At 44.9% G+C, this 27,740-nt stretch overlaps 1 protein-coding gene, 1 long non-coding RNA gene and 1 other non-coding gene across 3 annotated transcripts, besides 5 other annotated features; 1 reads left to right on the top strand and 2 right to left on the bottom strand.

Annotated features, from left to right (window-relative positions):
* Nucleotides 1-801: 801 nt before the first annotated feature.
* ZNF766 (zinc finger protein 766) lies at nucleotides 802-27,261 on the bottom strand. Its single transcript, NM_001010851.3, has 4 exons — nucleotides 27,217-27,261; nucleotides 14,611-14,737; nucleotides 13,435-13,563; nucleotides 802-6,782 (listed from the first exon to the last, which is right to left on the bottom strand). The coding sequence occupies exons 1-4, from the start codon at nucleotides 27,232-27,234 to the stop codon at nucleotides 5,650-5,652; spliced, it is 1,407 nt and encodes a 468-aa protein (NP_001010851.1). The 5' UTR covers nucleotides 27,235-27,261; the 3' UTR covers nucleotides 802-5,649.
* On the bottom strand, nucleotides 14,955-15,051 carry MIR643 (microRNA 643). Its single transcript, NR_030373.1, has one exon. It is a non-coding gene; the product is annotated as a microRNA 643 (primary transcript).
* LOC124904763 (uncharacterized) lies at nucleotides 19,221-27,604 on the top strand. The gene is made up of 4 exons (XR_007067331.1): nucleotides 19,221-19,310; nucleotides 19,393-19,534; nucleotides 24,875-25,013; nucleotides 26,607-27,604. It is a non-coding gene; the product is annotated as an uncharacterized LOC124904763 (long non-coding RNA).
* Nucleotides 26,255-26,324: an enhancer, noted in NCBI's record as "active region_15043". NCBI's record gives its function as "activates an Ori minimal core promoter by ATAC-STARR-seq in GM12878 lymphoblastoid cells {active_cell/tissue: GM12878}" and the evidence as "EXISTENCE:reporter gene assay evidence [ECO:0000049][PMID:35858748]".
* Nucleotides 26,758-27,052: an enhancer, noted in NCBI's record as "tiled region #2064; K562 Activating non-DNase unmatched - State 1:Tss". NCBI's record gives its function as "activates a minimal TATA promoter and a strong SV40 promoter by Sharpr-MPRA in K562 cells {active_cell/tissue: K562}" and the evidence as "EXISTENCE:reporter gene assay evidence [ECO:0000049][PMID:27701403]".
* Nucleotides 26,758-27,520: a biological region, named in NCBI's record as "Sharpr-MPRA regulatory region 2064".
* Nucleotides 26,975-27,520: an enhancer, noted in NCBI's record as "NANOG-H3K27ac-H3K4me1 hESC enhancer chr19:52772581-52773126 (GRCh37/hg19 assembly coordinates)". NCBI's record gives its function as "activates a minimal SCP1, AML or CMV promoter by ChIP-STARR-seq in naive H9 embryonic stem cells {active_cell/tissue: H9 hESC(naive)}" and the evidence as "EXISTENCE:reporter gene assay evidence [ECO:0000049][PMID:30033119]".
* Nucleotides 27,235-27,464: a silencer, noted in NCBI's record as "silent region_10994". NCBI's record gives its function as "represses an Ori minimal core promoter by ATAC-STARR-seq in GM12878 lymphoblastoid cells {active_cell/tissue: GM12878}" and the evidence as "EXISTENCE:reporter gene assay evidence [ECO:0000049][PMID:35858748]".

The raw sequence follows: 27,740 nt of genomic DNA, 5'->3' as shown, positions 1-27,740 counted from the left end.
CACCTGTAGTCCCGGCTACCCCGAAGACTGAGGCGGGAGGATCGCTTGAGCCCAGGAGTTCGAGTTTACACTGAGTTATGACGGCCACTGCACTCCAGCTTGGGCGACAGAGACTCAGTCTCTCAAATAAATACATAAAAAACTAAATTTAGCAATTTAATTAAGCCCTGGGATTGTCTGTGAAAGCGACGCAAGTTAATACATGAACTGCAAAGCCCTGCCTGGGCAGAATGTGCAATTTCATGCTGACGGCCCACAAAGCAGAATAGAAATCCTCTCCTTTTCTATTCCCTGTTCTTTCGGGAGGGACAGAGGTAACCCTGTGCTCAGCTCCAGAGAGTTTTCTAGTGACAGCACCAGGGGCATGGAGGGCTAAGGCCAGTGAGAATTTAGGTCACCAATTGTTGGTTTTAAAAAAGCATTAACCGGGCGAGGTGGCTCACACCTGTAATCCCAGCACTTTGGGAGGTCAAGGCAGGTGGATCATTTGAGGTCAGGAGTTCGAGACCAGCCTGGCCAACACGGTAAAACCCCATCTCTACTAAAAATACAAAAATTAGCTGGGCATGGTGGCATACGCGTGTAATCCCAGCTACTCAGGAAGCTGAGGCAGGAGAATCGCTTGAACCTGGGAGGCGGAGGTTGCAGTGAGCTGAGATTGTGCCACTGCACTCCAGACCAGGCAACAGAACAAGACTCTGTCTCAAAAAAAAAAAAAAAAAGTCAAAAAATATGTTAATTTAACATTCTCAGGATTTTAAAACTACAAAATGCTGATGAAAGAAATCAAAGACACCCAGATAGAGACATATACAATATCAATTTATTGATAAACTCAACATAGAAAAAAATGTGAAATTACCCCAAATTGATACACAGGGTTAATATATTTACTATCAAGGCACTTCGTAGATACTGACAAGATTATCCAAACAATTATGTAGAAAAGCAAAAAACAAAACAAACCAACAGAAATCCCAAAAAACCTGGAATAGCTCAAACATCTGAAAAAAAAGATAGAGCAGCATGCTCCCGGGAGGTGAAGGTTGCAGTGAGCTGAGATCACTCCATTGCACTCCAGCTTAGGCAACAAGAGTGAAACTCCATCTCAAAAAAATAAATAATAAAATAAATAAATAAAATAAAGATAAAGGGTTGGAATCACTTCACGTTACTTCAAGTCCTCTAATATAGTGAAAGCATTTTTTCCTTTTTCATATTTACAATAAAACGTTTATACCTGCCATTGTCTTGTGCATACTCTTGTCAAAAAATATTGTCTCCAAACAACAGTCTCATTTTTGTGTCCCCTAAAATTTTCACTAGAGTGACATTCGGAAAAAATGTATTAAGCATAGCATCTGGCCGGGCATGGTGGCTCATGCCTGTAATCCCAACACTTTGGGAGGCCGAAGCGGGTGGATCACCTGAAGTCAGGAGTTCAAGACCATGCCTGGCCAACATGGTGAAACCCCATCTCTATTACAAATACAAAAATTAGCCAGGTGTGGTGATGGTGCATGTCTGTAATCCCAGCTATTCGGGAGGCCGAGGCAGGAGAATCACTTGAGCCTGGGAGGCGGAGGCTGCAATGAGCCAAGATCACACCGCTGCACTCCAGCCTGGGTGACAGAGCAAGACTCTGTCTCAAAAAAAAAAACAAACAAGCATAGCATCTGGATGCAATGTACAGAAAAAGAAAAAAGTAAAAAAAAAATATTATATATGTGTCTATACGTGCATATATAAACACAAAATATAATTTTATTAGAGTTGAAAATGAACCATGGAATATATTGCTTGATGCTGTAACGGGAAAATGACATTTCCATAGCTTTTGGAAAAATGCTCTTCTAGTAATATCATATTTATAACAAATATATTTTAATCATATTATATAATACATTATATTTATTATAAACCCACACACTAATTTTCATTGTCTACTATAAAAAGTATCTTAGGCAATTTTACTAAAAAAATTTCACAAGTGTTTTCAACAATCATATTGTGCAATGAGACCTGTATCTGTAACTATAAAAGGAACGTAAGATATTATCATGAAGAAAATCAGAGTCTTTCCTAACCAAGATGGCAGGAGCTTCCAGAGGAAGCTAGAGTTGTCCTAGAGTTGACTGCATTTTGTGATGTCTGAACACCAACGCCTTTTACACCTCTGCACTCCCTCTTCCTATTCTGCCCATCTGGTCAACTGAAAAATCCTCAGTGCCCACTCCTTTGGCACCAGCTGAAAGTTCAAACCACAAGTGGGCACCCCTGCCCAAGCCCTATCCCTTAACAATCATCATACCCCAAGCCAGTCACCTATGCCGATTCCCTAGTCATATTTGGACCAACCGGGGAAGTCTACCCTGCTCTCCCCAGAAAGCCTCATTATGGAGTAAACATTTTGAGATCACATTAGTGAATGGCATCATCATTCTCAATACCCAAACCAAACTTCAGGTGGATGTCAAAGCAGTTCCAGAAGAATGATCAAAAGTTCAAATTACCAAAAAGGTTATAAGGGTGAAAATGTGAAGTTTCTAGTTAATCTACCAAAGCAAAACGAAATTCCCAATCTGTGTGTTCATCCTCAAGAGAACATTTCTGAACATTAATATTTTTTCAAATTATGTCACTGAGCGCTACGAGGTCAACAGCAAGATTGTTACAATATTTTCATCCTGAAGTCCACACTTTGTCCTATTTTCCATATTACTGTATCTGTATTTTCGCTTCCTGAAAATGAAGGTGCCTGCCATGGGTCTTACTTGGCACACAAGAAAAAGGCACACAGAAACATAATACAGTGCATGTTTATCAACAGTGATGAACATTGAGGGCATATGATGATGAAGCTGCACTGTTATGTGATTTTCACTTTACCCACAAAAGCATCTTAGGGCAGAGTAGAGAGGTAGGCCAAGTGTGGTGGCTCATGCCTATAATCCCAGCACTTTGGGAGGCCGAGGTGGGCAGATCACCTGAGGTCAGGAGTTCGAGACCAGCCTCACCAATATGGAGAAACCCTGTCTCTACTAAAAAAACAAAATTAGCTGGGCATGGTGGCACATGCATGTAATCCCAGCTACTCGGGAGGCTGAGGCAGGAGAATCACTTGAACCTGGAAGGCGGAGGTTGCGGTGAGCCGAGATCACACCATTGCACTCCAGCCTGGGAAACAAGAGCGAAACTCCATCTCAAAACAAAACAAAACAAACAAAAAACAAAAACAAAGAGTAGAGAGAATAACTTAAGTACTAAGTATTATTACCCAAAATCATACTTACCCAAGTGTATATACCCAAAAGTGCATGTCATTTCATTTCACACACAAAATTGTTGTGGATGCTTCAACCTTAAAAATCCTGGCCAGGCGCCGTGGCTCATGCCTGTAATCTTAGCACTTCGGGAACCCGAGGTGGCTGGATCACCCGAGGTCAGGACTTCGAGACCGGCCTGGCCAACATGGTGAAACCCCATCTCTACTAAAAATACAAAAAAATTAGCCGGGTATGGTGGTGCATGCCTGTAATCCAGCTACTTGGGAGGTGTAGACAGGAGAATCACTTGAACCCGGGAGGCAGAGGATGCAGTGAGCCAAGATCGTGCCATTGCACTTCAGCCTGAGTGACAGAGCAAAACTTCATCTCAAAAAAAAAAAAAAAAAAGGAATACTATGCAGCCATAAAAAGGATGAGTTCATGTCCTTTGCAGGGACATTGATGAAGCTGGAAACCATCATTCTCAGCAAACTATCACAGTGACAGAAGACCAAACACCCCATGTTCTCACTCATAGGTGGGAATTGATCAATGAGAACACCTGGACACAAGGCGGGTAACATCACACACCGGGGCCTGTCGGGGGGTGGGGGGCTGGCAGAGGGATAACATTAGGAGAAATATCTAACGTAAATGACAAGTTGATGGGTGCAGCAAACGAATATGGCACATGTATACCTATGTAACAAACCTGCATGTTGTGGACATGTACACTAGAACTTTAATTTTAAAAATAAATTAATTTAAAAATCCTAATGGTGCCTTATTATTGTCTGCTATAAAGTATCCTCCTGAGACGAGATAAAACAATATTGGTAGAAAGAAGGTAAATCATTCACACTTTGGAAAATTTCAACTTTATTGTTCCAAACATGAGAAAATCCAACAGTTGCAAATTATGCCAGCAGTTAAATGTGAATCCTACTCAAGAACATGTTCCACTGGTAGTTTTGATTAAACTCTCTACTCTGATTTAACTGTTCTCTCTTCCATTTGAAAAATCAGAGTACTTTTTAATCAGTCTTTGCTAAACAGCAGCTATTGCTATTCAATGGAGACGGTGGCCACCATTTCCCCTGCATCGTCTCTCCTACGTAATCAGTCCCTGATGAACTCTCTTCCCATAAAAATCCCTGTGTCCTAAAGTCATGGCGTGCTCTATTTCATGGTCATTTGTAGAGCACAGCAGCACTGTGCCTGTCAGGAAAAGTGTGTGCTAACTGCAATAAGCATGATGACTGCCATCACGGTTTTGTTATTCTCTGTCCACCTCCATGGTCTCTAAATCAGACAATCTTTAATCTGAAAAGGCAGTGTCCTTATTCCTCCAGGAAACTGGATAGAAACGCTCCTCATCTAATGAAGTCAGCCCTGTCATCTTACTGATTCTTTCCCAGACCACAGTGAAAGGCCTGTAGGGAAGGCACATGAAGAAATTTCAAAGTTCAGGTTGAAGTCATAAAAACTAGCCTTTTTTTTCTTTTGAGACAGGGTCTCGCTCTGTCACCCAAGCTGGAGTACAAATGGCAAGATCAGAGCTCACTGCTCAAACTCTCAAACTCCTGGGCTTGAGCAATCCTCTTGCCTCGGCCTCTTGAGTAGCTGGAACTACAGACACATGCCAAGGGCCTGGCTTATTTTTTTTATTTTGTAGGGATGGGCCTTGCTACGTTGCCCATACTTATCTTGATCTCCAGGCATCAAGTGACCCTCCTGTCTTGGCTTTCTATTGTGCTGAGATTATAGGCATGAACCACTGCCCCTGGCCTTTCAAACCCAAATAATTTTTTTTTTTTTTTGAGACGGAGTCTCGCTCTGTCACCCAGGTTGGAGTGCAGTGGCGCGATCTCAGCTCACTGCAACAACCTCTGCCTCCTGGATTCAAGCAATTCTCCTGCCTCAGCCTCCCGAGTAGCTGGGATTGCAGGCATGTGCCACCACGCCTGGCTAATTTTTTTGTATTTATAGTAGATATGGTGTTTCACCATATTGGCCAGGCTGGTCTCAAACTCCTGACCTTGTGATCCACCTGCCTCAACCTCCCAAAGTGCTAGGATTACAGGTGTGAGCCACTGCGCCCAGCCAATTACATTTTTAATAACCCGAATATTACAGATCATTTCCACGTGTCCTTGCACCCTTTATACACATCATATCATTAGGTTCAACATATTTTGACTTGTTGGCCTTGGCACACACAATCCATTTGTGTGGTTTCACCAAAGATGAATGTTTCGATGTCTAGTGATTTGGTAGGTCTCGATACAGCCTGTGCCACATATAGTACATTTAAATGATTTCTTTCTAGTATAGACTCTCGGATGTTGATTACTGCTAGAACTTATGATAGAGTTTGCCAAACTCAGTTTGTAAGGACTCTCTCATGAACACTTCTCTGATGCTGTACAAACCATGAACTGTGCCTAAAGACCTTACCACACACATGGCATTTGTAAGGTTTCTCTCCAGTGTGGATTCTCTGATGATTTGCAAGGTGTGAATTCTGAGTGAAGACTTTGCCACACTCATTACATTTGTAAGGTTTCTCTCCAGTGTGAATTTTCTGATGTCGTGCAAGATGTGAAACTTGAGTGAAGACTTTGCCACATTCATGACATTTATAAGGTTTCTCTCCATTATGATTTCTCTGATGAACTGTCAGGGAGAACTTGTGCCTAAAAGCTTTGTCACATTCTTTACATTTGTAAGGTTTCTCTCCAGTGTGGATTAACAGATGGGTGGTGAGGCTTGAATGCCCACTAAATTCTTTGCCACATTTATTACATTTGTAAAGTTTCTCTCCTGTATGAATTCTCCAATGTTGTGCTAGGTATGAACTGCTACTATAAACCTTGCCACATTTGTTACATTTATGAGGTTTCTCTCTAGTATGAATTTTCTGATGTCGTACAAGGTATGTAATTCGACTGAAGACCTTGCCACACTCATTACATTTGTAAGGACTCTCTCCAGTATGCACTTTCTCGTGTCGTGCAAGGTATGCAATTCGATTGAAGAGCTTGCCACACTCTTTACATTTGTAAGGTTTCTCTCCTGTACGAATTCTCCAATGTTCTGCGAGGCCTGACTTGTCCCTGACGGTTTTACCACATTCATGACATCTGTTAGGTTTATCTGCAGTGTGGATTACTTGATGATTAGGAAGGCTTGAAGACACTCTGAAGACTTTGCCCTGCTCATTACATTCGTAAGGTTTTCTCCTAATGTGTGCTTTCTGTTCTTGTGACAGCAATGGAAAATCAACAAAATCATTCCTATGTTTATTAAATATGTGGGTTTTGACCCCAGAGTAAATTCTTTGAAGTGGCGAAACTGAAGAACTGTGGCTGATGAACTTTTGAACTTGATTACATTCATAAATCTTCCCTTCACCTTGAAATATCTCCAGTTCTGGCAGAGGTAACTGAAAGGTTAATCCAAGTTGATTTGTAATAGGCTTGTTTCCTGCTTTGCTTCTCACTGCACAGCTCCTCCCTAGGAAAGCAAGTAAAGAGTATAATTTGAACCCATGGTTCTGGCATGTTTTTTGCACTTTTTTTGAGTTGGAGTCTGGCTTTGCCACCCAGGCTGGAGTGCAGTGGCACGATCTCGGATCACTGCAAGCTCCGCCTCCCAGGTTCCCGCCATTCTCCTGCCTCAGCCTCCCAAGTAGCTGGGACTACAGGCGTCCGCCACCACGCCCAGCTAATTTTTTTGTATTTTTAGTAGAGACGGGGTTTCACTGTGTTAGCCAGGATGGTCTCGATCTCCTGACCTCGTGATCCGCCCGCCGTGGCCTCCCAAAGTGCTGGGATTATAGGTGTGAGCCACCGCGCCCGGACTCTGGCATGTATAGACCCTGATGGAGGAACTGGAATCTGCCTCATCTGATTCAGACACTGGAAGAAATATCAGCATAGTATCACACTGGCAGTGGAGAAAACCCAAAAGGTAGGGTGATGCAATGGAGCAATGGGGAATCTACAGGACTCAGGAGGATTACAGGTGAGTTTGAGAGGGATTATGAGTAGAGAAATACAACAGAAATTGAAAGCTTCTAAGAAAAAGCAGGATGAGTCTCTTAGGGAAAATAAGACACTTATGAGCAGCTGCATAGGCCAGGTGTGGTGGCTGTAATCCCAGCACTTTGGGAGGGCGAGGTGGGCGGATCACTTGAGGTCAGGAGTTCGAGACCAGCCTGGCCAAAATGGTGAAACCCCGTCTCCACCCAAAAATACAAAAATTAGCCGGGTATGGTGGTGTGTGCCTGTAATCCCAGCTACTCAGGAGGCTGAGGCCGGAGAACTGCTTGAACCCGGCAGGCAGAGGTTGCAGTGAGCTGAGACTGTGCCATTAAACTCTAGCCTGAGTGACAGAATGAGAATCCGTTTCAAAAAAAAAAAAAAACCACATGCGGTGGCTCACGCCTGTAATCCCAGCACTTTGGGAGGTCAAGGTGGGTGGATCATGAGGTGAGGAGCTCAAGACCAGCCTGATCAACATGGTGAAACCCTATCTCTACTAAAAATAAAAAAATAAAAAAAATTAGCCAGGTGTGGTGGCGTGCGCCTGTAATCCCAGCTACTCAGGAGGCTGAGGCAGAAGAAGAATCACTTGAACCCGGGAGGCAGAGGTTGCAGTGAGCCGAGATCGTGCCACTGCACTCCAGCCTGGGTGACAGAGCAAGGCTCTATCTCAAAATAAATAAATAAAAGTAAATAAATAAAAATAAAATAAAAGGAAAATTAGGAAATATCTTGATATAAAGGAAAATGTAAATATAACACAGCAAAACTCATGAAATGCAATAAAAATAGTGCTGGAAGGGATATTGTAATGATGTATGCATACATGAAAAAAAAAAAACGGCTGGGTGTGGTGGCTCACACCTATAATCGCAGCACTTTGGGAGGCTGAGGTGGGAGGATCTCTTGAAGCCAGGAGTTGCAGACCAGCCTAGGCAACAAAGTGAGACCCCTTATCTCTAAACAAAATAAATAAATAAAATAAAATAAATTAGTTTTAATTAGTGAGGCACAGTGTCGTGTGCTTGTAGTCCCAACTACGCAGGAGGCTAAAGTGAGATCATCACTGGATTCCAGGATCTATGATCATGCTGCTGCACTCCAGCCTAAGTGACACAGTGAGACCCTATCTCTTAAAAACTAAATAACTAAACTACAATGAAATAACGTATAAACAACCTAACTTTATATCTCAATAAAGAAAAAAATGAACACGACCAGGCACGGTGGCTTACACCTGTAATCCCAGCACTTTGGGAGGCCAAGGCGGGTGGATTGCCTGAGCTCAGGAGTTCGCGACCAGCCTGGGCAACAAGGTGAAGCCCCGTCTCTACTAAAATTCAAAAAATTAGCTGGACATGGTGGCATGTGCTCACAGTCCCAGCTACTTGGGAGGCTGAGGCAGGAGAATTGCTTGAACCTGGGAGGCGGAAGTTGCAGTGAGCCGAGATCACACCACTGTACTCCAGCCTGGGCGACAGAACAGGACTCCATCTCAAAAAAAAAAAGAAAAAGAAAAAAATGAACACTAAGATAGCAGAAAGAAAAAATAAAGGTTAGAAAACAAAGAAAACAGCAGAGAAGCACTAGAGAAAGTCAGGAAAGTAAGAGTTCACTCTTTGGGTAAGACTTTTGACAAAGCCTTACCTAAACTAGAAAAAAGAAACATGAAGCATACGACCGAAATAACTACAATTAGAAAGGTAAAAGAGGACATTACAAACAAGTCTACACAAATAAAAATGGAAATTAAATGAGACTCAACAATTATATAACAAAAAATATGTTAACCAAGAAAAAAATGGATAAATTTGTAGATAGACACCACTTACCAAGACTTAACAATGAAGTAGAAAATCTAAACACACCAGTAACAAATAAGAAGACTGAATCAGTTATTAAATACCTACCAACTAAAACAGCAATGGACCAGATGACCTCAGTGTAAAATTCTATCAAATATTGAAAAAAGATTTAACACCAATCCTCAAAATCTGCCGTAAGGTTGAGGAGGTGAACCACTTCTACACACATTCAATGAGGCCAGTGTTACCTTGAAAGCAGAGGCAAAGGCCCTAAAGAAAACAGCAGAGCAGGCTGGGCGTAGTGGCTCACGCCTGTAATCCCAGCACTTTGGGAGGCCAAGGCGGGCAGATCACGAGGTCAAGAGTTCAAGACCAGCCTGACCAACACAGTGAAACCCCGTCTCTACTAAAAATACAAAAATTAGCTAGGCGTAGTGGCACGCGCCTGTAATCTCAGCTACTTGGGAGGCTGGGGCAGGAGAACCGCTTGAACCCGGGAGGCGGAGGTTGCAGTGAGCCGAGGTCACACCACTGCATTCCAGCCTGGGCGACCGGGCGAGACTCCGTCTCAAAAAAAAAAAGAAAACTGCAGAGCAGGTCGGGCACGGTGGCTCACACCTGTAATCCCAGCACTTTGGGAGGCTGAGGCAGGCAGATCACCTGAGGTCAGGAGTTCGAGACCAGCTTGGCCAACATAGTGAAACACTGTCTCTATTAAAATATAAAAGTTATCCGGGCATGGTGGCAGGTGCCTGTAGTCTCAGCTACTTGGGAGGCTGAGGGAGGAGAAGCACTTGAGCCCAGTAGGCAGAGGCTGCAGTGGGCCGAGATCAAGCCACTGCACTCCACCTTGGGCCACAGTGAGACTCCATCTTAAAACAAAACAAAACAAAACTGCAGAGCAATATTCCTGATTAATCTAATGCAAAAATCCTCAACAAAATGGTAGCTAAATAAATTCAGCAGCATATTAAAATGGATCACACCTCATGACCAAGTAAGATTTATTTCAGGAATGCAAGAAGGATGCAACTTTGGAACATTAGTCTATGTAATATCCCACAATAACAGAATAAAGAAAAAGAAATCCATGCAATAATCTCAGCTGATGCAGAAAAACATTTGAAAAACCTTAGCAATTATGATAAAAACACTCGCCAGGCACGGTGGCTCATGCCTGTAATCCTAGCACTTTGGAAGGCCAAGGCGGGAGGATCGCTTGAGCTCAGGAATTCCAGACCAGCCTGGCTAACACAGCGAAACTCCACCTCTACAAAAAATACAAAAATCAGCCAGGCATGTGGTTGAGGTGAGAGGATTGTTTGAGCCTGGGAGGTGGAGGCTGCAGTGAGCCAAGGTCAAGATCAGGACAGCATGAGACACTCCCCCAAAAGAAAAAAAAAAAAAAGAAAGAAAAACACTCAACACACTAGGAATACGAGGAACTTACTTAACATAATAGAGTCCATATATAAAAAGCCGAAAGGTAACATCATACTCAATATTGAAAGAATGAAGGCTTTTCCTTTATAATTAGGGGGGAAAAGCCCACTTGGATTCTTTCTTTCTTTCTTTTTTTTTTTTTAATTGAGCTCTTCCGGGATCCAGGTCTTTCTTGACTCTCTGGTCTTATATCATTTAAATGCAGTGGTACCCACTTGTGCTTATTAACTCTCTTTCATTGATTACTGACTGGGTGCACATCCATTATTTCGATTCAGAATCCCTCCCTTGGTATCCAGGGAGGACACGTTCCAGGCTCCTCTGTGTGGTGTTATGATACACATATACCTTGGTTTTTGTCCACAGTTCCTGGCTCATAACTCCCATAGCCCTTGCTACAGTCTTTGGGTATAATGTTGGGTTAGACCTTCTCTGCAGACCTTAAGAAAAATAACCTCTCCAACCTTCTCCTCCTCTTCTTTCACCTGCCCTAAGGCAGGACTCTAACTTTCCCCCTACCTTTCTGATTGCGGGTCTTAAGACCTCCCCAGAGAGGTTCCTGCTGTATACCCTGGGGGAAGGAATGCTGATGTCACAAAGCTTCCATGAAAACCCAAGAGGACTGGGTTCCAAGAGCTTCAGGATGTCTGAACACATGGCGGCTTCCTGGAGAGTGGCACGCCCAGGGAGGGCTTGGAAGCTCCACAGTCCTTCCCCCATACCTGTCCCACATGTCTCTTCATCTGTACCCTTGCAATATCCTTCATAATAAACCGGTAAACCTGAGTGTTTCTGTGACTTCTGTGAGCTGCTCTAGCAAACTAATTGGGCCCAAAGATGGGATTGTGGAAACCTCAACTGGAAGCCAGTTGGTCAGAAGTTTGGAGACCCAGACTTGCAACTGGTGGGAAGGGGGGCAAGTCTTGGAGACTGAGCCCTAAACCTGTGGGACCTGGCCCTATCTCCAGATACAGTGTTGGAAGTGAGTTGGAGGACACCCAGCTGCTGTCTGCTGCTTGGTGTATGGGGAAAACCCCCCACACCTTTGGTCAGAGAAGTCTTCTTCTGTGTTGATAATTGTCGTGGTGGTGTGAGAGCAGAGGAAAAACATGGTTTGCGAGTTTTGTGCTAAAAAACCCTGAGATACCAAAATGTGTGATGCTCAAGTCCCTTACTATTGGCCTTCATATCCATGGTTTCTATATCTGCAGGTATAGAAAGCCCAGAAAGACCAGGCCATGGTTAGAAGCACAGAATTGTCAGCACCAACCACCATCCTCCAGGAAGGGTACAGGGGCTGGAGACTGAGTTAATACCAATCATGCCTAAGTAATGAAGCCTCCATAAAAGTTCCTGAGAGCTTCCACATGCTGAACACGTGCGGTGGGCCTCAAGGGCGGCACACCCAGTGAATCTTCCCATGTGCCTCGCCTTGTGAATCTCCTCATCTGGCTGTCCATCTGTATCCTTGGAAACATCCTTCCTCATGAACCAATAAACATAACGAAGTGTTTCACTGAGTTCTGTAAGCCACCCTAGCAAAGTAACCAAACAGAAGAAGGGGGTCGAGGGAACCCTGACTTGTGGCTGGTTGGTCAGATGGAAAGGTGACAACCCGCTACTGGCAATTGGTGGCGGACAGGCTTGGGAACTCAACCCTTAGCCTGTGGGACGCGACTCTAACTCAGGTAGATAGTGTCACCAATGAATTGCAGGAAACCCCAAAACTGGTTGCTGGTGGGGAGAAATCTCCACACATTTTGGTGACCAGAAATGAAGCATTCTGTGCCAAGTAGCATGTGAGAGTAGGAAAATCACTGACTTTTTCCCACCTCAAACAGAACTGAACAGGCAAAGAGGGCTTGAAACAGCTCCATGCAGTTTCCAGGACCCAGATGCAAAAGACAGCAGCCTGTGTTTTCCCATCTCCCCATCAGGTCTTCCCAGTACAGGAAATGGGCAGATCATGAATAGGTCAAGGAGGCAGGTCTATGCAGACCTCAGCTCTGATGTATAAGGACAGAGAACTGAGCATCAGATAAAATCCCATACAGGAAGAGACCACAGGGAAAAGGGACTCCTTTGAAGCAGCGCTCTCTGTGACCCTCAGAATCAAGGACTAAAGAGTTGACAGAAGCCACATGACAGGGTATTGTCCATCATGATAAAAGCCTTTGCTTTTGCCTCTGTTTGGGCTGCAGTAACACTGCAGGGCAAAAACATAAAACTATTACACATCTAAACGACAGCGTGGGCTGGGCGCGGTGGCTGACACCATAATCCCAGCACTTTCGGAGGCCAAGGCGGGCGGATCACGAGGTCAAGAGATTGAGACCATCCTGGCTAACAAGGTGAAACCTCGTCTGTACTAAAAATACAAAAATTAGCTGGGCGTGGTGGCGCACGCCTGTAATCCCAGCTACTTGGGAGGTTGAGGCAGGGGACTCACTTGTACCCGGGAGGCGGAGGTTGCAGTGAGCTGAGATCACGCCATTGCACTCCAGCCTGGAGACAGAGCAAGACTCCATCTCAAAATAAATAAATGAATAAATACATACATACATACATAAAGGACATGGTGACAGGTGGGGGTAAAGAAAGATTTCTCTTAAGAACTCACAGGTTTTAAACTCTTATTTCTCCACACAATTCTCCCACTTATAAACACGATTTAATAGTGTGGCTCTGGTAGGCAAGGGGCACATGCCTATAATCACATCACTTTGGGAGGCCAAAGCAGGAGGACTGTTGAAGCCCAGGAGTTCAAAGCTGCAGTGAGCTATGATGGCCAATGCACTCCAGTGTGGGGAACAGAGACTGTCTCAAAAAAAAAAAAAAAAGTGTGGCTTTCACTCTGTCCATCTGAGCTCTTACCTGTGTTGATATCTTTGATACCTTCCCACCTATCTGGATTTTTTGCTACTTTCATTTCATTCTCCACAGTCCAGGGCTCTGTCCTTTGCTTCATCATGGAGATAATACTCAGGTCAGGAAGACAGATTCCTGTTTATAAAAGAAAGAATCAAGATGTGCTGTGATGTCTCCAAAATCCAAGCCCTCTGTTTAGGCAGCAGAGATGATATTAAAAATTAATCCTTTAAAGCCAGTTAGAATGGCGATCATGAAAAAGTCAGCAAGCAACAGATGCTGGAGACACTGTGGAGAAACAGGAACACTTTTACACTGTTGGTGGGAGTGTAAATTAGTTCAACCATGTGGAAGACAGTGCGGCGATTCCTCAAGGATCTAGAACCAGAAATACCATTTGACCCAGCAATCGCATTACTGGGTATATACTCAAAGGATTATAAGTCATTCTACTATAAATAAATAAAAAAACTAATCAAGAATTCAAGAAAAACATTTCACAAATTCACCCACAGACTGTCTGCTTCTGAATGCGTAGGGAACTGTGTAATAATTGGACATCGAACTCTCTTCCAAGAACTATAGAATCAAAAGCACAGGGGTAGAAAACAGGGAACTGGATATTTTAAAAGTTTGTCATAAGGTTTTATGCACACTTAAGCCCAGGTACCACCCAAAGGTGTATCATGAAGGATACAGAATGTCTGAAGAAAGGGGGAATTTCAAGACCAGAAAGCATACGGGAGCTTTTCATTTCTGAGTCAACAGGGTTTCTTTTTTTTTGAAACAGAGTCTTGCTCTGTTACCCAGGTTGGAGTGCAGTGGCATGATCTCAGCTCACTGCAACCTCTGCCTCCTGGGTGCAAGCAATTCTTCTTGCCTCAGCCTCCCGTGTAGCTGAGATTACAGGCATGCACCGTGACACCTGGCTAATTTTTGTATTTTTAGTACAGATGGGGTTTTATCATTTTGGTCAGGTTGGTCTCGAACTCCTGACCTCAAGCAATCCACCCACCTCAGCCTCCCAAAGTGCTGGGATTACAGGCATGAGCCACCGTGCCCAGCCAAGTCAACAGGGTTTCAATCTCAGTCAAGCAATGCAGGGGCTCCCAAGAGGCACACAAGGGAAAATGCAGAGATACTAAGGGCAGACCCCAACTTCTGGAGGGGCATTATCCTTACCCAGGGAGACCAGGTTCCTGTAGTTCTCCAACATCACATCCCTGTATAAAGCCTTCTGCACAGGGTCCAGGCATTTCCACTCCTCCTGAGAGAATTCTATGGCCACGTCCCTGAATGTCAAGTGTCCCTAAAATAAAAGATGTATTTGACCAACAGGGTAAGGAGAGAGTAATTATGTTCACACGAAATGAGAAGAGGGTTGTAAGGACTGACTCAACTGAAGTGCTGACGTGAACATTCTGACATATCCACATTAAGGTATTTTTGAGCTAGTTATGTGTCTGTGATTGAGTTTTATTATACTTTTCCATAAAAAGTTATGATATTCTTTAAACTAGTGTAGATTTTTCATTCAATATCTACCTGAGCTAGCATACAAGTGTCTCTGAAGACGCCAACTACTTGTATTCTAGCTCAGGTAGACAATGAATATCACTTGGTGTGTCGAACATAATACCTAACACTTCTATAGAATTGTGGGTTAATTTTGTGTCTGGGCATTAGAATCAAACCTAAAGAATCAAGCAGTTAAGTAACAGATCAGCATTAAAAGTAAACTGACAATTACCTAACTGAGTAAAGTTAAGTTCATGGACAAAAATCTGAATCTGCGTAAAAGGTCATTCTATATGCATACACATGTATCCTCCTCATAATACATTACTATTCTTACTGCCATTAACTCATTAACGTGATAGTGTAGAACACATTTTTTTTTATTGACAGAGTCTCAGTCTGTCACCCAGGCTGGAGTGCAGTGGCGCAATCTCGGCTCACTGCAACCTCCGCCTCCTAGGTTCAAGTAATTCTCCTGCCTCAGCCTCCCGAGCAGCTAGCATTACAGGCACGCACCACCATACCTGGCTAATTTTTGTATTTTCAGTAGAGACAAGGTTTCACCATGTTGCTCAGGCTGGTCTTGAACTCCTGACCTCATGCGAGCCACCTACCTCGGCCTCCCAAAATGCTGGGATTACAGGCATGAGCCACCGCACCCGGCCCAATAGTGTAGAACACTTATAAGGTCATGGCAAGTATTTCAGATGTAATTTCAACTGTTCAAAATATAATTTTTTTTTTTTTAGATGGAGTTTTGCTCTTGTTGCCCAGGCTCAAGTGCAATGGTGCGATCTCGGTTCACCACAACCTCTGCCTCCCAGGTTCAAGGGATTCTCCTGCCTCAGCCTCCCGAGTAGCTGAGATTACAGGTATGTGCCACCACACCCAGCTAATTTTGTATTTTTAGTACAAATGGCCTTTCTCCATTGGTCAGGCTGGTCTCGAACTCCTGACCTCAGGTGATCCACCCGCCTAGGCCTCCCAAAGTGTTGGGATTACAGGCGTGAGCCATCACGCACGGCCAAAAGTGTTGGCTCACACCTGTAATCCCAGCACTTTGGGAGGCCGAGGCAGGTGGATCATGGGGTCAGGAGACCAAGACCATCCTGGCCAACATGGTGAAACCTGTCTCTACTAAAAATATAATAATTAGCTGGGTGTGGCGGTGCATGCCTGTAGTCCCAGCTACTCGGGAGGCTGAGGCAGAAGAACCGCTTGAACCCAGGAGGCGGAGGCTGCAGTGAGCTGAGATCACGCCACTGCACTCCAGCCTGGGCGACAGAGCAAGACTCAGTTTCAAAAAAATGAAAAATAAAATTAAAATTAAAATTAAAAAATTCTTATAAAATGATGTTGTAGCTTAACTATAGGCTTGCTTATCCATGCACTCATGCAAACACATCACATGTATACACTTACACACACTTAGTTTATAAAGTAATACACATATACAATTTACACATCAGATGAAATAAGGAGTTGTCTCTCAATGACCTATTTTTTAGATGATATTTGTCATCTTTTTTAAAAAAAATTCTTAGAGACTGGGTCTTGCTATGTTGTCCAGGTTGGGGTACAGTGAGTAATCATAGCACAGTACAGCCTTGAACTCCTGATCTCAAATGATCCTCCCTCCTCAGCCTCCCAAGAAACTGGGGCTAACGGTGCACATACTGCCTGGCAGTCATTATTATTTTTGCTAATGTGTATTTCAGCATCTTTGCAACAATAAAAATGTATAAATAGTACTCAGTTTAGTTTATAAACATTATTGTATATTAAGCTATTTAAAAAAAGTAGACCAGCTGGGAGCGGTGGCTCACGCCTGTAATCCCAACACTTTGGGAGGCTGAGGCGGGCGGATCACCTGAGGTGAGGAGTTCGAGACCAGCCTGGCCAACATGGTGAAACCCCGTCTCTGCTAAAAATGCAAAAATTAGCTAGGCGTGGTGGCGGGCACCTGTAATCCAAGCTACTCGGGAGGCTGAGGTAGGAGAACTGTTTGAACCCAGGAGATGCAGGTTGCACTGAGCCGAGATCACACCACTGCACTCCAGCCTAGGCAAAAGAGTGAGACTCCGTCTCAAAAAAAAAAAAAAAAAAAAAAAAGAAAAGGTAAATCATGAAAAAAAAAACATAGAAACTTGAACTCCAGTCACAAATACCTATTTTCAAATATATAAATATAATATGTTTTAAAATTTATGTGAGGTCTTACTATGTTGCCCAGGGTGGTCTCAAACTCAAGAGATCCTACCATCTCAGCCTCCCAAGAAGCTCAAATTATAGGCTTATACTACTGCACTAACCCATTGCTTTGTCCATTAAAATTTATTCTCTAGTGAGAATTACAAACCACTGCTCAAAGAAATCAGAGAAGACACAAACAGAAAAACATCCCATGCTCACGGATAAGAAGAATCGATATAATTAAAATGACCATACTGCCCAAAGAATTTACAGATTGAAAGCTAATCCTAATGACGTTCTTTGCAGAACTAGAAAAAACTATTTTAAAATTCATATGCAATCAAAAAAGAGCCTAAATAGCCAAGGCAATCCTGAGCAAAAAGAACAAAGCTGGAGGCATCAAGTTATCCAACTTCAAACTATACCACAAGGCTACAGTAACCAAAACAACATGGTACTGGTACAAAAACAGGCACAAAGACCAATGGAACAGAATAGTCAGCCCAGAAATAAGGCCGTGCATCTACAACCAACTGATCTTTGACAAAGCTGACAAAAACAAGCAATGGGGAAAAGACTCCCTATTTCATAAACGGTGCTGGATAACCAGCTAGCCACATGCAGAAGATTGAAGCTGGACCCCTTCCTTATACCATATACAAAAATCAACTCAAGATGGATTAAAGACTTCAGTGTAAAACCCCAAACTATAAAAACCTTGGAAGACAACTTAGGCAATACCATCCTGGACACAGGAATGGGCAAAGATTTCATGACAAAGACACCAAAAGCAATCATAACAAAAACAACAATTGACAAGTGATATCCAATTAACTTTAAGAGCTTCTGCACAGCAAAAGAAACTATCAACGGAGTGAGCAGACAACCTACAGAATGGGAGAAAATTTTTGCGAACTATGCATCTAACAAAGGTCTAATATCCAGCATCTACAAGGAACTTAAGCAAATTTACAAGAGAAAACCCCATTAAAAAGTGGGCAAAGGGCCAGGTGCGGTGGCTCATGCCTATAATCCCAGCACTTTGGGAGGCTGAGGCAGTTGGATCACCTGACATCAGAAGTTCCGAGACCAGCCTGGCCACCATGGTGAAGCTCCGTCTCTACTGAAAATACAACAATTAGCTGAGTGTGCTGGCAGGGGCCTGTAGTCCCAGCTACTCGGGAGGCTGAGGCAGGAGAATTGCTTGAACCCGGGAGGCAGAGGTTGCAGTGAACTGAGATCACACCATTGCACTCCAGCCTGGGCGACAACAGCGAAATTCCATCTCAAACAAACAAACGAAAAAAGTGGGCAAGGGACATGAACAGACACCTCTCAAAAGTAGACATACATGTAGCCAACAAGCATATGGAAAAAAAGCTCAGTATCACTGATCATTAGAGAAATGCAAATCAAAACCACAATGAGATACCATCTCATTAGTCAGAATGGCTATTACTAAAAGTCAGAAAAGGCCTGGCGTGATGGCTCACGCCTGTAATCCCAACACTTTGGGAGGCTGAGGTGGGTGGAGATGGTGAAACCCCATCTCTACCAAAAATTCAAAAAATTGCCGGGCGTGGTGGTACACATTTGTGGTCCCAGCTACTCAAGAGGCTGAGGTGGGAGGACTGCTTGAGCCTGGGAGGTAGAGGTTGCAGTGAGCCAAGATTGCACCACTGTATGCCAGCCTGGACGACAGAGCAAGACTCTTGTCTCCAAAAAAAAAAAAAAAAGGCAGAAAAGATTTCCTGAATTTTTATTGCAGAATTTACCAGGTACTTGTGCACATTAATAGGTGATTTCTGTGGGCAGCTTCTCTAATCCTGGTCCACAGAGAGCTGACAGAGCATCCAGATGTGGCCCCTGAACAATCCCTGCTGCCCAACAGCACTGACACCACGGGGCCCTCACCCCGTCTCCACCCACGTCTGGGTGTGAGCCCTTCCCAGGATCACGCCCAGTGCAGCCTCTTCCCAAGTTCATGTCACTGGGTCACAAGAGATGGAATCTAAGCGAGATGAGAGGGACTGAAGGAAGGCATGGGTGAGTGTGAGCAAACCTGTCAGGCAGGATGCTTCAGACTCAGAGAAGATTCTCAACTCCAGCACCCGGCATTTCAGGAAGAAATAAGAAACAGAACAATCTACTGAGAATATCACTTTACCTGAGTAAGTGGCATGCCTGACTCCTCTGCTTTCCTCTTCTGGGCTTCTCCTTCACATAACATGACTTTTTTTGTTTTTTTTTGAGACGGAGTCTCACTCTGTCACCCAGGCTGGAGTGCCGTGGCCCGATCTCAGCTCACTGCAAGCTCCGCCTCCCGGGTTCACACCATTCTCCTGCCTCAGCCTCCTGAGTAGCTGGGACTACAGGTGCCCGCCAACACGCCCAGGTAATTTTTTGTATTCGTAGTAGAGACGGGGTTTCACCGTGTTAGCCAGGATGGTCTTGATCTCCTGACCTCGTGATCTGCCCGTCTCGGCCTCCCAAAGTGCCGGGATTACAGGTATGAGCCCCCGCGCCCGGCCAACATGACTCTTTAGAAGTCAATCCTGAATGTCAAAAATATGCTGTTTAGGGTTTAGAATCAACATACTTTCTTCCTGTGCCACAACCACACACGCAGGGAAGACCTCACCCTGTGGAAATACGGTCCTCTGCTGCCCACTGCATCAGAGTTGATGCCGGGACAATAAACTCCTACAGGAAGAACAAGTGAGCTTTTGGCCCCTTTCTTCAGAACCCGCTCCCCTCCTGGAGAAGCCCACACACACACTGCAGCAGTGGGGAGCTGGGCTGGACTAAGCTCCCCTTCAGGGCACAGACCTGGCTCTGACCAAACCCCATGCAGAGCACAGCACCCCCTCACCTCTTTGTGAATCAGAGGCTGAACTCAGCCTTCAGAAATGAGAACACGGCTTCGGTGCTCAATGCTGGATACAGAATACAGTAAAATCCCTTTATCCAAGGGGATACGTTGCAAAACCCTGAGTGAATGAAACTTGGAACAGTACTGAACCCTATTTACTCCACTTAAAGGATGCCTGTGACAGATTCTCACTGACATATCCAAATTGCCAACATCAATGCTCATGTGCTTGGGGGGCATGTTAAGTAAAATAAGGATCACTTAAACAAAACCAATGAGGTACCACAAAATTGGATCTGATCAAAAAGACTACTATTAAAAACAAAACAAAACAAAACAAAAAAGAAGACTATTAACAGATTGATGGGCAGACAGAGTATACAGTGCATGGGGTCTGTATCCATGGATTCAACCAATTACAGACTTAAATAATTTAAAAAAGACAAAAGGAAGCAATATACCAATATAAAATAGCAATACAATAAAAATAATACAAGAAAACAACCCAGTATAACAAGCATTTACATAGCATTTATATTTAATTAGGTATTACCAGTAATCAGATGTTTACAGTATATGGGAGGGTGCAGAGGATGTGCATAGGTTACATGCAAATGCAGTCACGCATCGCTTAATAACAGGGACATGTTCTGAGAAACGCATTTTCAGACCATTTCATTACAGAGGGAACTTACACAAACCAAGATAGCATAGCCTACTACACATCTGGTATATATAATACAGCCTACTGCTAAAAACCTGTAGGGCATGCTATGTCCTGAATACTATAGTCAACTGTAACAACGGTAAGTACTCGTAAGTCAAAACATATCTAAATATAGAAAAGGTACAGTAAGGCCAGGCACGGCGGCTCATGCCTCTAATCCCAACACTTTGGGAGACCAAGGCAGGTGGATCATCTGAGGTCAGGAGTTCGAGACCAGCCTGGCTAACATGGGGAAACCCCGTCTCTACTAAAAACACAAAAATTAGCTAGGCATGAAAGTGGGTGCCTGTAATCCCAGCTACTCGGGAGGCTGAGGCAGGAGAATCACTTGAACCCAGGAGGCGGAGGTTGCAGTGAGCCAGGATTACACCACTGCACTGCACTCCGGCCTGGGTGACAGAGTGAGATTCTGTCTCAAAAAAAAAAAAAAAAAGAAAGAAAAAATATAGTAGTCATATGGTATAAGAGTTTAAAAAATGGTACACTTGTCTAGGGCACTTACCATGAATGGAGCTTGGAGGACTGGAAATTGCTGTGGGTGAGTGAGTGAGTGATGAATGAATGTGAAGGTCTAGGACATGACTGTACACTACTACAGGCTTTATAAACACTGCACATTTAGGCTGCACTAACTTCACAAAAAATACTTTTTTCTTCCGTAATAAACTAAGCTTACTTATTCCAACTGTTTTACTGTATAAACTTTTAAATTTAACTTTTTGATTCTTTTGCAATAACAGCTTAAAACACAAACATGTTGTACAGCTATACAAAAATATTTTATCTTTGTACCTTAATTCTCTAAACTTTTTCTTGTTTTTAATTTTTTTTTAACCTTTTTAAACATTTTTGTCAACAACTAAGACACAAACACACACATCAGCCTAGGCCTGCACAGGGTCAGGACCATCAGTGTCACTGTCTTCCAGTGCCACATCTTCTCCCACCAGAAAGTCCTCCTATGGTAACAATGGTTTCTCCCAGACGCCTCCTGAAGGACCTGCCTGAGCCTCTTCTAGAGGCGTCACTCCTTTCAGAAATACGTCCATGGTGGTTTGCTTGCTTTGTTTCTTTTGTCTTCCTAAATGTTCTTATGAGCGGATAATGCATCATGGACGCTCCTTTCTATTAATGAAAATCTTTAGGTGTTGGTGCCTATGTTTTCAAACCTTTTAAGGAGCTTGTCAAGGTCTGCAAAAGCTTCTGCTATATCTTTAACTGTGAATTGCCTTGAGAGTACTTTCTTTTTCTCCTTCAGTTTCCTATTGGCTCATTCTTTTTTTTTGAGATGGAGTCTCACTCTGTCGCTCAGGCTGGAGTGCAGTGGCGTGATCTTGGCTCACTGCAACCTCCACCTCCTGGGTTCAAGTGATTCTCCTACCTTAGCTTCCCAAGTAGCTGGGACCACAGGCATGTGCCACCACTCCTGACACTACTGACCTCAAGTGATCCACCTGCCTCGGCCTCCCAAAGTGCAGGGATTATAGATGTGAGCCACCGTGCCCAGCCAGTTCCCTATTCTCTTGCCTCTTCTTCAGCTACATGTTCCTGTATCAGTTCCAATGACTCCTCATTAACCCATTCCTCATGAACCACCTCTAAGAGATTCTCAATGTCATCCTCCTCCACATCCAGGTTAAAGCTGTTTGGTAACGCACTAGGTTTGTTTCCGCCAGCATCACCACAAATACAAGGAATGCACTGCACTATGATGTCATGACTGCTCTGAGGTAGCTAGGCAACGGGAATTTTTCAGCTCCAGTGTAATCTTATGGAACCACCATCACAGGTGTGGGCTGCTGTTGACCGAAATGTCCTTATGTGGCATGTGACTGTATTATGCAATTTTATATAAGGGTCTTGAAGATCATCTGATTTGGGTAGTCTTGGGGGGATCTTGGAAGCAAATCCTACGTGATACCGAGGGATGACTATACAGGGGGACATACAGGACAAAGAGATGATTCAAGTCCTGGACAAAACAGAGTGGGACAGTGAGAGATTGTATCATCCTGCTCAGAAGGATGAGAAATTGAAAACTTGTGAATTCTTCATTTCTGGAACTTTCCACGTAATACCTTGGACTGTGGTTGACCATGAGTAACTGGAACCTCAAAAAGTACACTGGCAGATAAGGAGAAACTACTGTAGAATCAACTTCAAATATTAAGGCTGGGCCCAACCTGAGTATGTGAATGGGAATCTCAGGTAAGAGGCTGGGGGCACAAGATGTGTATCTGCACTCCAATGTGAAAACAGGGGTGAGCTCCACTCAGACGGGGCAAGCCCAGCACACCCCCACCTTCTGGCTCTGCTCTACCCTTGGGTCTTGTTACCAGGATTTACGTAGTGGACAGCAAAAGAGCAGAAAGAAACATCCAGAGCAGGCAATGTGGACCACAGTAGGGGTAAGGGTGTAGCTGGAGTGTTAAATGTAGGGTGGAGAGGAACACAGAACCCTCCATGAAGAAGGTAATATCAGAACAAAGACCTGGGGAAGAAAAGGTGTTTGCACCTGCAGCTGACAGGCTAGAGATGTCCAGGCAGAGGGACAGCCCAGGTGGAAGCCCTGAGGCAGGAGCAACCCTGGCCCCAGGAAAGAGGTCTGTGTGGCTGCGGCAGAGGGAACGAGGGGGACACAGGGAGGAGATGAGCTCAGAGAGGTCCTGGGATGCAGATCACACAGGGATGAGGCCACCAACATTTCTCTCCCATACCTCCAAAGAATTTCAGAAACAACAAATTTCCTCATCTGTTTTAGTAACTATGTAATTATTTATGTTATAAATTAATGTACTTATAGGCTGGGCATGGTGGCTCATGCCTGTAATCCCAGCACTTTGGGAGGCCAAGGCGGGCAGATCACAAGGTCAAGAGATCGAGACCATCCTGGCCAGCATGATGAAACCCCATCTCTACTAAAAATGCAAACAATTAGTTGGGCGTGATGGTGCACGCCTGTAGTCCCAGCTACTTGGGAGGCTGAGACAGGAGAATTGCTTGAACCCGGGAGGCAGAGGTTATGGTGAGCCAAGATCACACCACTGCACTCCAGCCTGGTGACACAGCAAGACTCCGTCTCGAAAAAAAAATATATTAATGTATTTACAATGTAACATCTTACATATTTTGAACATATGACAAGTTCAGCTAAGCCCCAGGAAGTACAGGGTCACCCTCATCTGAGATGTGCAGGACTGCAGGGGAATGCATTTGGGGGAGTTCAGAAAGTGGCACATACGAAGGTGGAGATGCCTGTTAGATGTCCCAGCAGAGAAGTGAGGGGACAACTGAACACAGGTTTCTAGACCTCAGGGCAGAGGTCTGCAGGGCACATGGAGACAGGTAGATGGGGTTCAAAGCCATGAGATGAGATGATAAGGAAGGGTAGTGTGTGTGAAAAGAGATGAGAAGAGTTTTGAGATCCAAGCCTATTCAACATAGGGAAACCCAGTCTGTACTAAAAAATAAAAAAATTACTCAGGTGTGGTGGTATGCACCTAGAGTCCCAGCTACTTGGGAGGCTGAGGCAGGAGGACCTCCTGAGCCCGGGAGTTCAAGGCTGCAGGGAGCTATGATTGCACCACTGCACTCCAGTCTGGGTGACAGACTGAGACCGTGTCTTAAAAACAAAAACAAAAATGAAAAAGACCTAAATCATGGGACACTCCCACATTCAGAGAAGACAGCTTCAGGAGACACCAGCAGAGGAAACTGGTAACACAAAAATCTGAAACAAAGTAATTAAACTTAGAGATGTCTTCAAAGCTAAGAAAAAAGAACAGGGAATGATCAGCTGTGCAACATGTTGCTAAGACGAAAAGATGAGGATAGGAAATTCAAAATTGGACTTCGAAACACAGAGATCACTGGTACCTCTGGGAAAAAAGGATCAAAGGAATGGTGGAGGTGAAAGCTTAATTGGAAGGGGGTAAATCAAGAACTGGAGGCAAGACTGAAGACAGAAATATAAACAAGATTTTAGTGTACTGTGTTCTCAAATGGAGCGTTGAAGAGGGGTACTCACTACAGGGAGAGATGTAATTAATAGAATATTTTTTATTTTAATCATGGAGGAGTGGCAAGAAAATGAAGGCTTCATCTGTGCTTTTTTTTTTTTTTTTTTTTTGAGACAGTCTCACTCTTGTCACCCAGGCTGGAGTGCGGTGGCATGATCTCAGCTCACTACAACCTCCATCTCGGCTCACTGCAACCTCCACCTCCTGGGTTCAAGTGACTCTCCTGCCTCAGCCTCCGGAGTAACTGGGAATACAGGTACGTGTCACCACACCCAGCTAATTTTTGTATTTTTAGTAGACATGGGGTTTCACCGTGCTGGCCAGGCTGGTCTGGAACTCCTGGCCATAAGTGATCCACCCGCCTTGGCCTCCCAAAGTGCTGGGATTACAGGCGTGAGCCATCGCACCCAGCCAGTGTGTCTGTGTGTGTTTTCATGGACAATACCTCCATGTGGGTGCACTAACCAAAGTAATCCCTTGAAGTAAATATTGGTGATGCCAGAGGAAGGATGTCACACTGTCCTGAGACTGTGAGTAGGGCTGGCACCTGGTGCACAATCGCAGGGTCAGCAACAGCCAGGGGGAGGGACAGACCATTCCCAGTTACTACTGAGTAGAGATCACAGGCCCTGAGACAGGTGGGTGGGCCGGTTGGAGATCTCTTCCCTTTACTGGTTGAGATGGAAATGTGCACGTGTTTTTCCGCATACTGACCAGTTCTCTGGCACACTCCCAGCTGGATGACCCACAATTTAACTCAATTTTGATAGTATCTACCTGGAGATAGAATCAGATCCCAGTTAAGGACTCAGTCCCACAAGACTGCCCCTCACCTCAGATATGGATAAAATTAACGGTTTCCAAAACACACTCCTCTATTTTGATTTGCTAGGATGGCTCTTCCACCTGTATCCTTTGTAATAACCTTTATAACTGATAGTAAACCTAAGTAAAATTTTCTCTGAGTTCTGGGAACCATTCCAGCAAATTAATAAAATGTGAGGAGGCCGGGCAAGGTGGCTCAAGCCTGTTATCCCAGCACTATGGGAGGCCGAGGTGGGCAGATCACCTGAGGTCTCAGGAGTTCACGACCCGTCAGGCCAACACGGTGAAACCCTGTCTCTACTAAAAATACAAAATTGGCCAGGCGAGCTGGCGGGCGCCTGTAGTCCCAGCTACTCGGGTGGCTGAGGCAGGAGAATCGCTTGAACTCAGGAGGCTAAGGTTGCAGTGAGCCGAGATTTTGAGCCCCTCTCCTCTCCCGCAGTTTCTCCCCTTCTTCCCTCTATTCCTTCTTTTCCACTTCATCTGCTCCATCTTGCAATTTTTTTCCTCTTGTTGCTCTTTCTCTCCAATCTTTTGATTGTCTCCAATCTCCATATATTTCTGCCTCTTTCTTCTCCCATCTGTGCTCCTCCTGTTAAATTCCCTCTTCTCTGTCACGCCCCCTTGTCCCTACTGTCTGGCAACCCCAGATCTCTGGGGTGGTTCTCCCTTTGCCCTCCTTGTCACCGGCTGCCCCCTCTTGCTGTGCCAGCACCACGCTGCTCGGTCTGCCCTGGCTCCAAATCCCTCCTCCTCTCCCCAACTTTGTCTGAGGAGCCTCCCGCTTTGCTGCCCCTCTCCCTACCTTGCTGTCCTTCATCTGTCTAGAAATAGAACTTTTCTCTACATTTCTCGAGTTGCTTTTCTCTCCCTGCTACTTCCTGGGGTGCTTCTTTCACTTTGCAAATCTCTCACCCTCCCTCTGCGTTGCCGTCTTGTTATGGATCTTCCTCATTATTTTCTCTCTAAATTTTTCTGTTTCCTCTACCTCGCTCTCCATCTCTCTTTCACTTCACATTCACAGGGAGGGGACTGGAATAAAATACCCACCTCCTCAAGAGCACAGTTTCCAATGGGAGGAATTTGGGACGGAAGAACACTGGGTGCCCTGAGATAGGTCCCGGCCACCTCCCCCAACACAGGATCCGGAGAAGCCGTGACTGCGAAAAGGCCTGGGGACAGAAGGGAACGGCCCAAGGAGGACTACGGCGGCAGGCAGATCAGGGGTGGGGTCTGCAGAATCCCCAGACCAGGCAGAGGACGCGGCCCCTCCCGAATGGCGGCTGCGGCGCTGCGCCCCAGGGGCCGACAAGGACGAGGCTTGGGACCCGGAGGGCGTGGATCCGCCTCGCAGGCGGGGACTTTACGTGGCGCGGGGCTGGCGGAGGGGTCACTGAAGGGTTTTAAGCAGGAAAACGGCGCGAAAGCAGCTGCCTACGCAGCCCTACGGCAGAACGACCGGAGACAGAACCAGCCCTAGGGCGATTTTAACACTCTGACGGGACGCATGAATTTACTCGGGGTGGAGAGAGCGGTGCGGGGATTTCAAGGTCTGTACCGCCCCCCACATCCCGGGTACAGAAGCGTGAGGGCACCGCTAAGCGAACACTTAATCTAAACAAAGGAAAACTCACGCGCCGCAGTTGCGCCATATCTCCACGCCATCCACTTCCGGGTCTGCAGGCGGCTGCGCGCGAACGGAGAGGCCGGGCCGGGGCGTGGCCAGCGACGTGGCGGGCGGGGCCTGAATACTTATTGGACGGGGCCTGCACTTCCCTCCTCCTATCTCTGGGCGTGTCTCGGTTTTCCGCGTTTTGCAAGCCACACTTGCCAGTCAGGCTGGAGCCGCTCCACGGTTTGTGACCTGGGATCTCACTAGGAGGGTCAACGTCTGTTGTTTGGATCCAGGAAAGTTCCCACAATTAAAATTAAGGAATTCAATTAAAATTTAGAAATTTAATTGAAAATCCCTTAAATTGTCTGTGAAAGGAATGCAAACTAAAATACAATATGCAAACTCAACCTGTGCAGAATGTGTAATTTCACGCTGACGCCCCACAGAATAGCATAGAAATCCTCTCCATTTCTATTCCCCATTCACTCTGGAGTAGAGAGTTCCAAAGAGTTTCCTGGGCCACATCTGGGGCGTGGAGTGCTA

This window comes from Homo sapiens, chromosome 19, assembly GCF_000001405.40.
Source record: "Homo sapiens chromosome 19, GRCh38.p14 Primary Assembly".
In the NCBI taxonomy this organism is placed as follows: Eukaryota; Metazoa; Chordata; class Mammalia; order Primates; family Hominidae; genus Homo; species Homo sapiens.
The sequence above is the reverse complement of the archived record's forward strand: the minus strand, read 5'-3'. Positions and strand labels throughout refer to the sequence as shown.